Here is an 18042-nt window from a genome sequence, read left to right as displayed (position 1 = left end):
ACAGGCTCATGTGAACAGAGCCATCTTTGAAACTACCATTTGTAGACAGCGAGCCATGCAGTCCTCCAGTACATGATGCTGTACTGAGGGACTTAACCACTGCCACGTTTTCAACAGCCACCTTAAACTGGCCATACCCTTAACTCTAGCCAGAATCTCTCTGACGCTCTGGCTTTATCCTTAGATAACTCCATTTCATATCCAAAGATAGTGGAACTCAGCTGGGCATGGTGGCTCGTGCCTATAATCCCAGCACTCTGGGAGGCTGAGGCGGGAGGTTCACTTGAGGCCAGGAGTTTGAGACCAGCCTGGGCAACATAGCAAGACCCTGTCTCTGTGAAAACAAACACAAAAACACTGCAACACAAGCAGAGCCTGAATGGATTTCCCAGCCACCATGGCACCTCGGTTCTGGCTGCCCTGGACTACCAGGAGCATTTGTGTCTGCGTGCCTTTGCTCAGATTATGGTGTCTACAGAGAATATCCTTTTTGGTATTGCAGCAGCTGCCTTTATTCACGCGAAGCCAAGAGTGCAAGCAGGCAGGCAGGTAGTAGGAGCAAGCAGGGAGACCTGAGCAAAGATACGATAGCCAGGCCCAGGCCAGAAGGTACTGTGGGAGGCAGAGGCAGTGAGTCTTAAGGAAAGAGGAAGAAAAGGGGAAAATGTTGAACTGAACCCAAGAAGATCTTAAATGTCCAGAGGAACAGTAAGAAGCCCATTCTCCCCAACACAAGGGGCCTAATAAGAGTCTTGAACTTCAGTAGGAGCCTCAGCTGGCTCTGCTACACTTATCAGCAGAAGACCTTGGGCAAATCACTCTCTTGAGATTCAGTTTTTTCTTCTGTAAAGTGTGGAAATTTACTTTCTAGGGTTGTAGTAATGAAAGCAAAATCATGCTGGCAAAACAAAAAATTGTTCATCTATCATAACAAGTGTCTAGTTGCATCAAATGCTGGGGAAACGAAACTTCCTGAGGTGTCTTTTACGCTGAGCCTTAAAAGTTGGACTTTTCTGGATGAAAAGGAGTTGGGCAGCTTGAGCAGAGGCCCAGATGTGTGGGGGACAGGCTTGAAACGTGGTGTCCCGAGAGCACCAGGTGTGAGGCAGAGATGGCGCAAGAGGATGGAGAGGCATATGAGGTCAGATCACAAAAGGCCACACACTCTATCTGAGTCACAGGAAGCCATCAAAAGCAAAGATCTAGAAAGATCATTCCTGTGGCAGTACAGTGGATGGACTGGAGAGGACAGACTTAGAGTAGGACCAGAGCCTTTTAGCAACACGTACAAATGGAGAAATCAAGAAGAAATGGAGTTTAGCCTGAAATTGTTTTTGGAGATGGTTGGAAGATTTAGACCAGGACAGATCTAGGGTTGACAGGCAATAGAGAGGGGCTGATTCAGTGTTCGATGAAGGATGCCTGCTGTGAGGAACCTTTCTGGGGACACCCAGGAGGCTGGCAGTGCCCTCCAAACCATGTTGGGCCAGTTGGATTCTCGGGTGTCCACAGCAACATGGGACATGAGGCAGTATTTATTTGTGGGCTTTTTTTTTTTTTGAGACGGAGTCTTACTCTGTCGCTCAGGCTGGAGTGCAGTGGTGCAATCTCGGCTCACTGCAGCCTCCGCCTCCAGGGTTCAAGGGATTCTCCTGCCTCAGCCTTCTGAGTAGCTGGGATTACAGGCGTGCACCACCACGCTTGGTTAGTTTTTGTATTTTCAGTAGACACGGGGTTTCACCACATTGGCCAGGCTGGTCTTGAACTCCCAACCTCAAGTGATCCCAAAGTGTTGGGATTACAGGTGTGAGCCACTGCACCCGGCCAGTATTTGTGGACATTTTTGATAACCAGTGTGTGCCATTCATTGTTGTCTCTAGAAGGCTATAAGTAAGCAAACACTGAGCTAGTCAGCAAGGGGTCTATCACAGCTCAGTGCTGCCGTCACAATCACCTGCTCATTTGCTACCTTTCATTGTCACCTGGGGAGTAGGGCAAAATGGAAAATCCTTCAAGGCCAGGCACGGTGGCTCACACTTGTAATCCCAGTGCTTGGGATGCCAAGGCATCCCTTTGAGGCCAGGAGTTCTAGACCAGCCTGAGCAACATGGCAAAATCCTGTCTCTACAAAAAAAAGAAACCCCAAAACCTCAAAAATCAGACTGATGTGGTGGCACACGCCTGTAATCTCAGCTACTCAGGAGGCTGAGGTGGGAGAATTGCTTGAGCCTGGGGGGGTCAAGGCTGCAGTGAGCCAAGATCACACCTGGGCGACAGAGTGAAACCTTGTCTAAAAAAAAAAAAAAGAAAAATGCTCAGAGATTGTAACATATTAATTTTTATGACATCAGTGGTAACAAGCAAACTGGCCAAAATGCTTAATCAACTTCTTGGCCAAGTTTAACCCCTTTTCATGCAACCTAGACCACATTTTAGGTGCAGTGAGTGTTAACCAAGAACAAACTGCTGCTCTTTCCCCCCCGCCACTGAGTCACGGAGGCAGAGGCTCAGGTGTGTTCAAGAATCAGCTTCCCCCCTAACCCACCACCATGGCCCAGGAAGGCATCACTGCTGGAGGTGTCATGGACCTTAATACTGCTTTATAAAGGTCCCAAAGGCTGCCCTCATCCATGATGGCCTAGCACATGGAATTTGAGGAGCTGCCAAAGTCCTAGACAAGCGCTGGGCACATCCTTGTGTGCTGCCCCCAGCTGTGATGAGCCTGCCTATGTGGCTGAAGACCCTTGGTGCTGAACACCGGATCACCCTAATTACAGTTGATGACAAGAAACTAGGGGAAAGGGTGAGCCACTGTAAAACTGACAAAGGGAAAACCCCATAAGGTGGTTAGTTGTGGTTGCGTAGCATTAAAGACCATGGCAAAGGATGTCATCAAAGAGGTTTTTTTTTTGTTTGTTTTTTGAGACAGTCTCTCCTGTCACCCTGGCTGGAGTGCAGTGGCATGATCTGGGCTCACTGCAGCCTCCACCTCCTGGGTTCAAGCAATTCTCCTGCCTCAGCCTCCCAAGTAGCTGGGATTACAGGCACGCACCACCACACCTGGCTAATTTTTGTATTTTTAGTAGAGACAGGGTTTCTCCATGTGGCTCAAGCTGGTCTTGAACTCCTGAACTCAAGTGATCCGCCCACCTTGGTTTCCAAAGTGCTGGGATTATTGGCGTGAGCCACTGTGCCTGGCCCTTCTTTCATGTTTTAATTCAAGGGAGCTTTTCAAAAGTATATGTTGAAGGAACATTTTTATATATACTCTGACACACACCCGATGGCCAAATTGTGTTCACAGCTCTCAGACTTACTCATAGATTTAGAATCTCCTCAGGTACTTGGTCTTAATGGAAGGCAGCGGAGGTCCTAAAGGGGGGCTTTCTGTCCTAATGGTCAGCTGGAATGTGGGAGGAGCAATTTTAGCACAAGAGCAAGCTGAAAATCCCTCTATCTTTTCTGGTGACGCTGTGGCTGACAGTATTTACTTTTAAATGAGAAAACATCCGGGAAGGGGGCACCCGGATTTGAACCGGGGACCTCTTGATCTGCAGTCAAATGCTCTACCCCTGAGCTATACCCCCTTCACCTATCAGGAACTCCTTCCTTGTCCACTTATGGTGACTCAATACAATCAAGTTCCACCCACACTAGAGTTCTGGCAAGCTTTGTGTCCTAAAGCCCCACCTTCTTAATTATCCATCATCTGCTTTGGCTTTTCCCTTGGCCACCAATAAACTGAAAGGGAACACTTGAAAAATGACATCCTGGGTTGGGCGCAGTGGCTCACGCCTGTAATCCCAGCACTTTGGGAGGCCAAGGTGAGGTCAGGAGTTTGAGACCAGCCTGACCAACATGGCGAAATCCCGTCTTTGCTAAAAATACAAAAAAAATTAGCTGGGCGTGGTGGCAGGCGCCTGTAATCCCAGCTACTAGGGAGGCTGAGGCAGGAGAATTGCTTGAACCCTGAGAGGCGGAGGTTGCAGTGAGCTGAGATCACACCACTGTACTCCAGCCTGGGCTAAGAGAGAGAGTGTGCATGCGTGTGTGTGTGTGTGTGTGTGTTTTGTAAAGACAGGGTTTTGGCATGTTGCCCAGGCTGGTTTCAAGTGATCCAACTGCCTAAGCTCAAGCAATCCTCCTGTCTCGGCATCACTTCGGCCTCCCAAAGTGCTGGGATTACACGCATAAACCACGGAGCTTGGCCTTTGCTCTGTTCTTGATGGAAACAGTAGCCAGCTCTGATCCTGGGGTCCTGCTGATAGCTGGGGAAGTGTTTTATTGAGGATGAATAGTGTGGCTCCTTCTTATCCCACTGGCAGGGTAGAAGTGAAGCCTCTCCGAGTGCAAGGGCATAGGCCTGAGAAGCCCTTCTCGTCTCACCTCCTCTCCAGGGTAAGAGAAGCTGAGAGTACAGCTGGCTCCTTCCTCCAGTCTCAGGGAAGAAACGGCACACTTGGAGACACAAATTTTTTTAATGTAAAATAACATTGAGAGTTCACCTAAACATCTGTCTTAGAAATTCAGGTTGAGGGCTATGAAGGGAAGAGATGCTGTTAGAACAGAGGGAAGTGGGTGACCTCTCCAAAGACAGACGTGCTCCGACGGAGAGCTGGGGTGTTCCCGCGGTAGCCAAACCTTCCACTGAACCCACTGACCAGTTTGACATCAGCATTGTAGTGGCCATCTGCTGGAGAGGATGCCCTTGGGGGCAAGGAGAGAGAGGCCTGAGCCTGCTTCCAGTCCACCTCTTGGCTTCCCCATTCCCCTGGGTGTGGTATGGGATGCCAACCAGGTGTAGTCACTGCATTCCCCATGCCCACAGCCAAACACGCAATCCTCAAATGTCCTGAGCCTCTGGGCTGAAAAGCCAAGGGCTGGTGAGGTTGAGGGACAGAAGGCTTCCTAGAAATAAAACCCTGCACCAGGAATAATTGCGGGAAGACTGTGAATGGTTTGTGCTGGGACAGGAGGGGCCAGAAATTCTGGGCTTGGCAGAGCTTGCCTTTCTCCCACGAGAAATGAGAAAAATCTCACCCTTGTCTCTGACCCATGTGGAAAAAATGGATGAGATCAAGATCAATTGGACCAAATGGTACAAAGGATCATGTGAGTAGAGGAGTGGCCCAGGATGGTGGAGTTGGGCTGGGAGGAGGGTTTACCCTGTTAGAAAAGTATCTCTCAACTCTTTCCCATTGTTGTTAACCTGGGCCTGGAAAATGAGCAGGACACAGCAGTGAGGGGAACAGGGGCTTCAGAGTTGGGAAGAGCGGAATCTTAATCCCAGCTCAGCCCTTCTTGCCAAACCACTTTAACTCAACAAACTTGTTTCCCAAACTGTGCCGTGGGGTTAGTGTGAGGGTGAGAAGTGTCTTACAAATGGCTCGTGTCTGTAATGCCAGCACTTTGGGAGGCTGAGGCCAGAGGATCACTTGAGCCTAGGAGTTCAAGACCAGCCTGGGAAACATAGGGAGACGCCATCTCTACAAAAAATAAAAAATTAACTGAGTGTGGTGGTGCACACCTGTGGGCCCAACTGCTCAGAAGACTGAGGTGGGAGGATTGCTCAAGCCCAAGGAGGTCAAGACTGCAGTGAGTAGTAATTGTGCTACTGCAACTCATGCACTCCAGCTTGGGCGACAGAGTGAGACCATGTCTCAAAAAAAAAAAAAGGTGGGGGGGGCCTGACATACAGTAGGTGCTTATTAGCTAGTATCAGGGAGTACTGTGCCACCATCTGCTTGTGTATGTGAAGAAAAGCTGGAAAGATGCAGTCCCTGGGCCTCTTCCCCTCAACCAGGCTTTGCTATGGCCCAGGAACCATCATGAGGCTGGAAATGGAGGCAGCACTTGCCTGTCTCTGCCCAACTTCTCCTGTTGAGGTATCTCTGTCCTTTCCTGAAGATGTGGAGGATGCATTCTACTATCCAGCCATCCCTTCCTGTGCCACCATGATCCTGAATGTGGGAAAGAGAATACAGAAGACTGTCAGCCACAATGCTGAGGGGGCACAGTGCAAACTGCCCTGGGGTTTGCTGGTGGGAGAAGGAAGAGGTCAGAGCCTTAGATAACTGGGGCGGACGGATTAAATATATTTAAGAATCGGGCCAGGTGCGGTGGCTCAGGCCTATAATCCCAGCACTTTGGGAGGCTGAGGCGGGCAGATCACCTGAGGTCAGGAGTTTGAGGCCAGCCTGACCAACATGTAGAAACCCCCATCTCTACTAAAAATACAAAATTAGCCAGGCGTGGTGGCACGCGCCTATAATCCAACCTACTCGGGAGGCTGAGGCAGGAGAATCACTAGAACCCAGGAGGTGGAGGGTGCGGTGAGAGCGCCATTGCACTCCAGCCTGGGCAACAAGTATAAAACACCATCTCAAAAAAAAAAAAAAAATTTGGTTCTTTATAGAATATGCTGTATTAGTCAGGGTACTGGCAGGAAACATTCAAGTGGGTAACTGCGAGTCTACCTAGTGAGGCATTCTGGGCCAGCAACAGTGAGGTGTGATGACCAGCTGTAGGTCTGAAGGGACAAATGAAGAGTTGCTGGAACCCGGCTCTCTCTGAGCGCTTTCCAATAGAAGTGGTGGGTTTTGGTTACAGCCACCCACAGCCCAACCAGAAGGGAGCCGGGGAACCACTCCCTCTCCTCTTGCCCTCTGTGTTCTACTGCTGCTTCCCACTGGCTGAACCTACCTAGCTGCTGGGAGCCAGGGAACCCTGACCTAGTCCAGAGGTGAGTCTTTTGGGCATGCACAGAGCAGGGTGGAGATGGACAGATGATGAGGGCAGAGTGGGTCTGGAGGGGCCCAGGGAAGCTCTCCAGGAAGGCTATGAAAGCTGGTCCCAGCAGCCCAAGCTCATGATCTCCTAAGTCATTCACAGAAGTGCATGTCACACCATGATTCTTCTCTTGGTTTTATTGTTTGGTAGAAAAACAGGCTCTTTAACACTGAATAAACATCTCACGAACTGTCGCTCCTAGATTACAAAAAGTCAAAACCAATTTCCTTTGACGCCGGGCCCTTGAATCTGACATTCAAGTCACCGTAATAGAAACCAGAGCTGCTGAACCTTACATTCTGGAAGGTGCTTGAACAAAGGCATGTTAAGGACCGTTTAAAACTTCTAGCATGTAAGAAGATCCATCTTTCCTTCCAACGCCTTTGGATAATAACAGCAGAATCCCGGAGATCTGCTGCTGAGTTTGAGAAGGCCAAGTTTAAGGATTCCAAACTCCAGCCTTCAATATTTCTGCAGAAACTTAGAGAAGTAACCTCCCCGTCCTCTCCGCTGGCTTCCCCAAGTACAGATGCAGGATGCAGGTCTTTCTTCCTGCTACCCAGGCACCGAGGACTCAAACCATCTCACCGTCTCATCACTGGGCTTCTTCAATGGGCTCTTGGAGGAAGAAGCTTTTCGTTTTTGCCAATCTTCAGTCCTTAGAAAAGTCCTTTTTGTTAAGAAAAGGCAGGGAGGGTTAACTAAGTTCTAAGAATTCAATAAGAAAAGGAAAGAGGTACCTTTTATGAAAAGGACTTCCAAGCTCTCTCAGCCAGCAATTTAACTCAAATAACTTTCCTGAGCATCTCCACACGGAACATTCAGCACTTCTCTCCTAGCAGCCAGAGGATGGGATCTGTGTACACTGAGTGTCACTTAAAACACCCTCATTAGATGCAGTAAAAAGTTACGCTTTACTCCCGTAAGTCAAATCCACATGGCTCTGGGCTGTGCCCTGCAGAATTAGCTGTAGGAGTAACAGTAAAGGTCCTGCCCGACAGCCATGAGCAGCCCCGGCGCGCCCCGGGAGCCCCCCAGCCGCGACGAGAAGGCCACACTGGGAATGTCGGCCTTGGAGGCAGGGTACGGGGAGGGTATGGTTCTCAGTAGGCGGGCATCGTGGAGGCTCCAGATTCTCGTGTAGCAGTCCTGGCCCACTAGGAAAGAGGAGAGACACATGGCAGGCTAGTGAGAGAATGCAAAGGAAAACTTACCTACATGTGGACATGGCTTCCCAAGATTCCTCAGGGCTGTGATTTCATGTGAGCCAAAACACAAACTCATTAACGGACAGTATTTCTACGGATAACCCAAGTCGCCCTGTTGTGCTAGAACAATGACAAGATGCCCTGGTTGGCTGTGTGATGCCATGAATGGCTCGGAGACATCCTGGCTAATGTCTGGGTATTCTGCTGCTCTTGATGTCACGGAACGTTCAAGTGCGAGTGTGGCCCACCTGGTCTAGGTGACATGCAACTGATTTCCCCCATTTTTTAGGGACAGGGTCTTGCTCTGTCGCCCGGGCTGGAGTGCAGTGGTGTGATCAGGGCTCACTGCAGCCTTGAACTCCTGGGCCCAAGCCATCCTTCTGCCTCAGCCTCCTGAGTTAACTGGGACTACAAGTGTGTGCCGCCATGCCTAATTTTTTTTTTTTTTGAGATAGGGTCTTGCTGTGTTGCCCCAGCTGGTCTTAAACTCCTGGCCTCAAGCTCCCTAAGTGCTGGAATTATAGCTACCACACCTGGCCTGATCTTTTCATGTTATAGTAAAAGATCTGTCAAAGTCATTACATCCTGGGGATGGGCTAGGTTGACAACTCTCCCCACAGCTCTTTCTGGTTTAATGCTTCAGTTCCTAGGACCGGTTTAAGTCTTCAGGGCTCCAGTTCTGAGGACTGTGACACACAACAGCATGGGTTACAGCAGCCCAGAAACATGATATACACTACTGGAGACCTTCAGCAGGAGAAGAGGACAGGCCTTGGGCAGTCATGGATTTCACATTTGTGATTCTGATCACTTGTGTGGCTCTAAGACCAGAAGTGCTATCTTGGCTGAAGCTGAATCCCGGCTGCAGTTTATTACTGCAGCTGGTAACTACCTGCATCTGCCTCTCAGCAAGGCTGAGCTCTCTCTATCATCCAGCTCACAAGAGCTCTTCTGTGATAAAAACAGGTGAAAAATCGACTTAAAAAGGAGGCGAAGTCCTGGTGTTGATGAGAATAGTAAATAAGTCTATGAATGTCCTAACAAAGTAATGCTTCCTAGCCACAAAAATGTTCCATGGGGTATAAGCCCTTTCTATAGGAATACCAGTAGAGGTGACAATTCTTGAAGACTGAGAACACATTCTGCAGTGTCAGCAGCTACTATTTCAGTGTGAAAGCATTGAGCCTGCACACTGTCTGATTACGCTATAGCCACCATCATCTGTAATCAACTGGTAACTCCCTTCCAGGGGGCTTAGTGGCCAGATAGCTGCTCCTAATCTGCAGATCATGGAGCCACAGGGATGGTAGTAAAGGGGCCACAAATCTTTTTTATTTATTTATTTATTTTGAGACGGAGTCTCGCTCTGTTGCCAGGCTGGAGTGCAGTGGCGTGATATCGGCTCACTGCAACCTCCGACTTCCTGGTCCAAGCAATTCTCCTGCTTCTGACTTCCGAGTAGCTGAGAGATTACAGGCAGGTGCCACCATGCCCAGTTAATTTTTGTATTTTAGTAGAGATGGGGTTTCACCATGTTGGCCAGGATGGTCTCAATCTCCTGACCTCGTGATCCACCCTCCTTGGCCTCCCAAAGTGTTGGGATTACGGGCGTGAGCCACCGCGCCGGGCCGGGGCCAAGAATCTTTACAATGACCATAACTTCTTTTCTCAGCATCCTCTGGTGGAAATGTGAGTAGAGACAACAGGGAGCCCAAGTTTTTGGATAAGATAGTTGCGTGGTGGAATAATGCTGGCCTGATGAAATCCACTCAAACTCCAAACCCAGGCTCCCCAGGACCTCCCCACCTGCCTGTTTCTGAAGTGACGTTTGCCCACTGACATGGGATGAGGCTGTCCACCTGGTGGACATTTATTTACACTCCTGATTACTAATATAATCTAATTCTACTTCCCTCCTAGTCTCCCCACCCAGCTGTCCACACTCCCCTTGATTCAGTTCTGTTTTGGGGTAACTTTTCCCTCTGCTGCTGAAGTTGCTGGGATCGCCCCTGAGAGACAGTATTTGATGGGGTGGAACTTCCCCTTCCTTCCTCAAGTACCTGCCACCAGGATTCCTTCTTCCTCGTGCACATGCAGGGGCAGGTAGGCGTACTCATTCACGTGGCCTTCGTACTGCCTTACGCACTTCGTGGTCCTCAGGTCCCACAGCTTGATCTGTGGAAAAAGCACCAGGGGCCATCAGGGAGGGGCCAGGGGGTACCATGGTGGTCCCCAAGTGCAAAGCCAGGAAGGCAAGGTGGTCTCCAGTGGCCTGTGCAGGTCATGAAGATCTCCATCTCGAATTCTTGAGCCTTGTTGTTCATCAAAAGCATGTAACCAGGCCGGGCACGGTGGCTCATGCCTGTAATCCCAGCACTATGGGAGGCCAAGGTGGGCAGATCATGAGGTCAGGAGTTCGAGACCAGCCTGACCAACATGGTGAAACCCCATCTCTACTAAAAATACAAAAATTAGCCGGGCGCAGTGGCGGGTACCTGTAATCCCAGCTACTCAGGAGGCTGAGGCAGGAGAATCGCTTGAACCTGAGAGACAGAGGTTGCAGTAAGCCAAGATAGTACCACTGCACTCCAGCCCGGGCGACAGAGCAAGACTCCATCTCAAAAAAAAAAAAAAAAAAAAAAAAAAGGACATAACCAGAGAATCCTTTTCACTTTTGTTTACGTCAGATTAGGCTCATATGGTCAACGAAGCAGTCCCCATGCAGGGCCTACAAATCACTTGGTCTTCAGCGAAATTCCCCTGCCTGGGGTCTTGGTGTGAGGACCTCTTCAGCAGAACCCTTTCACCTGGCAGGGCACTGGGCCACGAGACCCTGTGGCCTGAGAAAGTCCATGATCCCCTACCTTTCCAGCCATGTCTGAAGCCATCAGGTATTGCTCATCTTGGAGGATCCGCACAGAGGTCACTGCTGAATCATGAAACAGGCGGGTGGCCTTCCATCCCTTGCCTTGATTTCCACAACGCAGATCAATGGCAAAGATTTCCCCAGAGCGGCAGCCATTAAACAGCAGAGGAGCCTGTGGAAAGAGGGACTGCTCAGTGCCTGGCTATCATGACATCCCTCTGAGGCTGGGCAGGGCAGGTCCTCCTGATACAACCCCTCTTCCAGCCTCTGGGTCAGACGGTGTGATTAGACACGTGCTGGTCAGGGTTTGGGTCTCAATGGAGTTGGAAGGGAGGATGATTCCTTGTTAGTGGCTAGAAGAACCAGACCCCATGTGTCCTCCTCATGGGTAGCACGGAGGTCCTAGGAGCTGCCCCCCACCCCCCTGCACTGTCCCGTTTGGCCTTTCTCTCTGAAGTCCCAGAGATAGCATTCCATCTCCACCAAAAGCAGGTTAGTGGGTTCATTCACTTTTAAGGGAAGACGGCATTTTCTAGAGAAAAGTCTGTGAAATATAGTAATGACCACAATTTTTTTTTTTTTTTGAGACAGAGTCTTGCTCTGTTGCCCAGGCTGGAGTGCAGTGGTGTGATCTTGGCTCACTGCAACCTCCGCCTCCCGGGTTCAGGCAATTCTCCTCAGTCTCTCGAGCAGCTGGGATTACAGGCGCCCAGCACTATGCCTGGCTAACTTTCGTATTTTTAGTAGAGAAGGGGTTTCACCATCTTGGCTAGGCTGGTTTTGAACTCCTGACCTTGTGATCCACCCATCTTGGCCTCCCAAAGTGTTGGGATTACAGCCATTCATTAGCCACTGTACCTGGCCTGATTTTTTAAACATATAAAATATATAACCTGGGAGCTGTGAAGAATTGGTGTTTGGCTTATACATTTTAAAAATGGTTTGTCCTACTGGGTAAATCCAAGTACCCAAGAACTGCTCACAATACCTTTCCATGAGAGGTTGTGTAGAGCAACTCAGGCCAGCCTTTCTGGATCAACCAACTTTCACTCGGCTCAGACACCCTTACAAAGGAACCCACTGATCCTTTCTGATGCTCTTTCTCCCCTGTCAAAGAGTACTAGATGGCACACAGAGGAGTCCAATTTCAATCTGGCCAAATTTCTACATGGGGCAAACTTTTATATTCTGCCTGTCCCAATCCAACCAACCATGAGAGCAAACTGCTGGGCCAAGACATCACTGTTGGTCCCAAAGGACTGCCGGTGTCCCGTCACCACGTTGGTCAACAGGACCCGCCGAGACAAGCCTGGCGGAGACAGAGATGGGCTGGTAAGATTATGTCACATGTAGTCTGGGGAGAGGGACAACTACATGGGGTTTTAAGGCCTGTTAAGGCCTCTTCTCTGGGCACCTGGGGAGCCAGGCTCACCTGTACTGAAGCAGTTATTTGCTTGGATATTCAGGGACCAGGCACAGGACCAGGCACCAGGGATCCGGAAACTGCAGAGCATGCCAGGCCGGTCTATTCCTGCTAAGGGGATAGGAGAATGTAAAGTGTGGCTGCCTTCTAGGCAGGCCAGGGACCACTGGGTTCGGAAAACATCCAAATATGCCCATAGCTGCTCAGAGGGTCTATACCTTTGGCCCCATTCTGGGTTTTGTGGTTGCAAGAGAGACTCAGCTGGGATGCCTGGCTCACAAGTGGTTATTCCGAAAATGCATCTTTGTTAACGTTCCCAGTAGTCGTGTTTACAGTACGAATAGTACTGATATCAGGGAGGTAGTATACTGTTGGAGGTAAGGTGGCTCCGATCCTCGATCACCTACCAGCTATGTGATCTCAGGCAAGTGTGTGTGTATATACACACACACACACACACACACACACACACACACACACACACACACAAATAAATAAATAAATAAACTATATATATATATATATATATATATATATATTTTTTTTTTTTTTTTTTTTTTTTAAGACAGGGTCTTGTTCTTTTGCCCAGTCTGGAGTGCAGTGGCGTGATCATGGCTCAATGCATCCTCAACCTCCCAGGCTCAAGGAATCCTCCCATCTCAGCCTCCCAAGTAGCTGGGATCACAGGTGTGAGCCACCACACATGGCTAATTATTTATTTTTTGTAGAGATTGGAGTCTTGCTATGTTGCTCAGGCTGGTCTTGAACTCCTGGGCTCAAACGATTATCCTGCCTTGGCCTCCCAAAGTGTTGAGATTACAGGCATGAGCCACTGTGCTTCGAAAAAATATTTTTTAAAATAAACTTTTGCATTGATAGAACGTACAGATTGTAAGGATACAGTTCAGTGAGTTATCACAAACTAAATATAGCCATGTACCCACCACCCAGGTTAAGAAATAAAACAATCCATGCCAGGCGTGGTGGCTCACGCCTGTAATCCCAGCACTTTAGGAGGCCGAAGCGGGTGGATCACCTGAGGTCGGGAGTTCGAGACCAGCCTGACCAACATGGAGAATCCCATCTCTACTAAAAATACAAAAATCAGCCGGGTGTGGTGGTACATGCCTGTAATCCTGGCTACTTGGGAGGCTGAGGCAGGAGAATCGCTTGAGCCCCAGAGGCGGAGGTTGCGGTGAACTGAGATCGTGTCATTGCACTCCAGCCTGGGCAACAAGAGTGAAACTCCATCTCAAAAAAAAAAAAAAAAAAAAAAAAAGGCCGGGCATTGTGGCTCACACCTGTAATCCCAGCACTTTGGGAGGCCGAGGCAGGTGGATCACGAGGTCAGGAGTTCGAGACCAGCCTAACCAACATGGTGAAATCCCGTCTCTACTAAAAATACAAAAATTAGCCGGGCGTGGTGGTGTGCGCCTGTGATCTCAGCTACTTGGGAGGCTGAGGCAGGAGCATTGCTTGAACCTGGGAGGCGGAGGTTGTGGTGAGCTGAGATCGTGCCATTGCACTCCAGCCTGGGCAATAAGAGCAAAACTCCGTCTCAAAAAAAAAAAAAAAAAAAAGACAAGACAAGACATAAAACAATCCAGTACCCCAGAGGCCTCCCTCACATCCCTTTCCCAATTACTACCTCCCCAAAGGGTACTGTGAGCCTGACCTCCAACACTAAAAATTACTTTTGTAAGACAAATTCTGAAACTGTCTGCCTCAGTTTCCTTATCTGTAAAATGGTGGTAAGACACACTCCTGCCTCATAAGCTTGCTGTGCAATGAAATACCAGGCACTGGGCTAAATGTGCATGATCTCACCTAATTCTCCACGGATGTGGACTGAGAAGGCCCTGTCCACTTTAGAGAGGTTCAACATTCCATTCAAGTTGGCAAGGGGCAGAGCTGGGATTCGTGCCAGGTCTGCCTGAAGCCCACACTCTTAAGAGGCCTCTCACCCTGGTCTTATTGATCCTAATTTTCTGATAGACTGAAATGTAATATCCAGAATGCTGTCAGGAAGGAGGAGTCAAATTGCCTTAACGTAGGCAGACTGTTAAGTATCCCTGATAGCACCTGAGGTGCTTTGGACCTTCAGAGGTGTTTTCTGAATGATGTGCACGGGCGTCCGAATCTGTTCTGAGCTCACGCTGGTTTACATGCGTGTTAAGTCTGCTCTGGCTGCTGAAATGACTGAAATGGCCCAAGATGGGTAAAAAGGGGCAGATGCTGTAAAAAAAACACATGCTTCTGGTACTAACCCTGGGACAGGCTTAGGGAATCCTCCCACAGTGCCTCTGCAGCGGCCCCATACTTCTCTCTAAGCCACCCCCACACAGCTCTCGGGAGACAGAGGACAGATTTCTTTAAAGGAGGAGAACCCTGTACCTGGGTGACTATTGACGAACAGTGATGCTGGGAGCAGGGTGGCACAGCCTGGAGTCTCTGCGAGTCCCATGAGGCATAGCCTGGAAAAAGCTGTTAAGGACAGTTAGGCACAAGGCTCCCCTCTGGGAGGAGGCATGGACATTTACCCTTCAGAAAGTCATACGGCACACAACCTAGGCCAGAGTAACCCCCACCGTCCAGATTCAACATGCGTTTACACTGCCCACATTTACCTTCAGATGTTTTTTTTTTGTTTGTTTGTTTTTGAGACGGAGTTTCGCTCTTGTTGCCCAGGCTGGGGTGCAATGGCGCGATCTCGGCTTACCGCAACCTCTGCCTCCCAGGTTCAAGCGATTCTCCTGCCTCGGCTTCCTGAGTAGCTGGGATTACAGGCATGTGCCACCACGCCCGGGTAATTTTGTATTTTTAGTAGAGACGGGGTTTCTCCAAGTTGGTCAGACTCGTCTCGAACACCCGACCTCACGTGATCCGCCCGCCTCGGCCTCCCAAAGTGCTGGGATTATAGGGGTGAGCCATCGTGACTGGCCAGCTTCAGATGTTTTTTAAAGGGAAAAACAAATCAGATATAGTTAAAAGCTGGGTGTGGTGGCTCCTGCCTATGTAATCCCAGCACTTTGGGAAGCTGAGGCAGGAGGATCACTCGAGTCCAGGAGTTCGAGACCAGCCTGGGAAACACAGCAAAACCTTGTCTCTACAAAAAATACAAAAACTAGCTGGGCGTGGTGGTGTGTGCCTGTAGTACCAGCTCCTTGGGAGGCTGAGGTGGGAGGATTGCTTGAGCCTTGGAAGTCAAGGCTGCGGTGAGCTGTGATCATGTGACCGCACTCCAGCCTGGGTGACAGAGTAAGACCATGTCTCAAAAATAAAATACTATTAAAAAGCCCAAAAAGCCCTCTCTGATCCCTCCCTAGTCCAATTCTCCCTTCTCCTCTACTCAGAGAGAACTGCTCTTCTCAAATTGGTGTAAGTTCTTCTAAGCCATGCTGTATTTCCACTACATATATTTGTCAATAAATAACACAAAGCAGCTTTTGTTTAAAAAAAAACATACAGAAATGGCATTGCATGGAATATCTCACTACCAGCCCTTAAAATTTCTGCTTATCTGAATGGGTACCAGGTGATACCTCACTGTTATTTAAATTTGCATTTCCCTGACTACATGTGGGTGTCTCTGTTCACATGAGCATAGTCGTTGGAGTTCCCTCTCTGACCTGCCCCTTTATACCCTTGCCTACGTGTGTGTCTTTTGACTGACGCGGTTCCTCTCCTTTTCCCCTCATAGCCAAACTTTGTTCCAGAGGAGCCTGTATTTATTCTCATTCCCTTGCCTTTCCTCCACTGAAATCCAGGCCTGACCCTCACCTTCCCAGAGAAATGTTCTCATCAGTCTTCAATGAGCCTCTGGTTTCTAAATCTGATGGAAACATTCCAGTTCTGCCCTATGGCCATGTAGCCCAATTTCTACTACACACTCCTTGGCCTCAACCCACCACTCTCTGGGAGGTCTATCCTGGCCTTCTCCTATCACAAGATGCCCGGGCTAGAGCCTGCACCTGCCTCTTGGTGCCCTTCCCTCCACTCCTGATACCTCGTTTCACGCCCTCACCACCGCCCTTAGTCTTGCAGCAGCTTCTGTCTGAGGACTTGCTCTCGTCCGTCTATCCCCCAACAATGCCACCAAAGGAATCATTTTCAAAAATGACTCCACAATCACAACCCCCTGGGACCTCCCACAGCCCTGAGCGAGCATTCAGTCTTGAAAGGCCCTGCTCCCTAGCCAGAGACATCATGAATATCAAACTGCTGCCAAACATACCAAGCTTTCTCCCAACTCCTCCTATTAGGGGTCCCTGGCCTCTTCCTGCCCTCATGGGTCTCCCTCCAGGAAGGTGGCTGCAATCCCTCCTGCATGCAGCTTTCCTCCTACACTGAGGACTTGTGGAGCTGCCTGTCTCTATCTCCTTGCAACTGCATATACTCGATAGGTGTTGTCTGAATGACCACACATATTCCTCACTGGAAAATGTAAATATCTGAAAAGCAATCATGTAACTTTTAAAAATCTTCTTAAACATTTTATTTTTATATACATTTTTTGAGATGGAGTCTTGCTCTTTCGCTCAGGCTGGAGTGCAGTGGCGCAATCTTGGCTCACTGCAACCTCTGTCTCCCGGGTTTTCAAGCAATTCACCTGCCTCAACTTCCCGAATAGCTGGGATTACGGGTGCGTGCCACCACACCTGGCTAATTTTTGTATTTTTAGTAGAGATGGGGTTTCACCATGTTGGCCAGGCTGGTCTTGAACTCCTGACCTCAAGTGATCCGCCTGCCTCAGCCTCCCAAAGTGCTGGGATTATGGGAATGAGCCACTGTGCCCAGTCACTTTTCTCTTTTTTAAGAGACAGGGTCTCTCTCTTTCACCCAGGCTGGAGTGCAGTAGTGTGATCACAGCTCACTGCAGCTTTGAACTCTGGGGCTCAAATGATCCTCCTGCCTCAGCTTCCTGAGTACCTGGAACTAAAGGCATGCACCATGATGCTCAGCTAATAGAATTTTATTATTATTTTTTTTGTAGAGAGGTCTTTCTGTATTGCCCAGGCTGGTCTCAAACTCCTGGCCTCAAGCAATCCCCCAACTTTGGCCTCCCAAAATGCTGAGATTACCGGTGGGAGCCACCATGCCTGGCCAGGTGACATTCTTGACTATCTGAGTATGTGATGTGTATGTGACATACCGCTCTGGGTAGTAAGCTCCAAATTAAGTATCTCCAGGATATACCAGGTGCTGAAACTGTAAATGAGAACACCACCACCAAATAAACTTATTTTGCTTCTGGGTTTGGAAGGCAAGGAAGTGAAGAAAGTGGGATGTGCATGTTAGTTACTGTTGCTGAATCTCAGCTTATTTATACTCAAACTTTGAGTACTTACGGAGCCAGGCTAAGATTTAATCCTTTGACAGGCCACAGGTTAACTAAGGGCCCAATAAGTGTAGAAAGAATTCCATCTAACTTCCCACCACTCTTGCAGGAAAAATGCAGAGTGCAGGTCTGAACAAAGTACCATTTTTCTAAAGGGAAAAAGTTACCTGAACTTCTGAAGCAGCACAAAAAATCTTCAGCACAAAAGCCCGAAGGCTACCAGAAATGGCCACCAGAGGGCGAGCCACTGATGAAGCTACAACAGACCATCCATCCCTTTAAGTCCAATTACATGGATTTTTTTTTCCTCTCCTTAGCCCACAGAAACGAGAATACCATGCTGTTTTAAGACTGGAAATGTGAGTGAGGTTCTTGTTTTTGCTTTCTGCAGAGCTTGGCCTCTTTAGCCCTCTGGTTA

General features: G+C 49.0%; 1 protein-coding gene, 1 non-coding gene and 2 pseudogenes across 22 annotated transcripts in view; 1 reads left to right on the top strand and 3 right to left on the bottom strand.

Moving 5' to 3' along the window:
• RPS12P1 (ribosomal protein S12 pseudogene 1) lies at positions 2505–2811 on the top strand (annotated as a pseudogene).
• Positions 3516–3587, bottom strand: TRC-GCA8-1 (tRNA-Cys (anticodon GCA) 8-1). Its single transcript has one exon. It is a non-coding gene; the product is annotated as a tRNA-Cys (tRNA).
• Positions 4460–18042, bottom strand: part of DCAF4 (DDB1 and CUL4 associated factor 4) — a 35635-nt gene continuing 22052 nt past the window's right edge. For 10 of the 21 annotated variants that reach the window (NM_001352449.2, NM_001352447.2, NM_181341.3 and 7 more), the window contains 6 exons: positions 14681–14760; positions 12296–12397; positions 12075–12172; positions 10862–11035; positions 10058–10172; positions 6855–7946 (listed from right to left, as the gene is read on the bottom strand). In NM_001352449.2, coding sequence (NP_001339378.1) covers positions 7753–7946; positions 10058–10172; positions 10862–11035; positions 12075–12172; positions 12296–12397; positions 14681–14760 — 763 coding nt within the window. In that variant the 3' untranslated portion in view covers positions 6855–7752. Of the gene's footprint in view, positions 5961–6854; positions 7947–10057; positions 10173–10861; positions 11036–12074; positions 12173–12295; positions 12398–14680; positions 14761–18042 lie in introns of those variants that run through there. The other 11 variants (NM_015604.4, NM_181340.3, XM_047431255.1 and 8 more) reach the window with 6 other exon arrangements.
• LOC100420966 (sperm microtubule associated protein 1 pseudogene) lies at positions 4461–5964 on the bottom strand (annotated as a pseudogene).

This window comes from Homo sapiens, chromosome 14, assembly GCF_000001405.40.
Source record: "Homo sapiens chromosome 14, GRCh38.p14 Primary Assembly".
Taxonomy (NCBI): Eukaryota; Metazoa; Chordata; class Mammalia; order Primates; family Hominidae; genus Homo; species Homo sapiens.
This window is presented reverse-complemented; position numbering and strand designations above follow the sequence as displayed.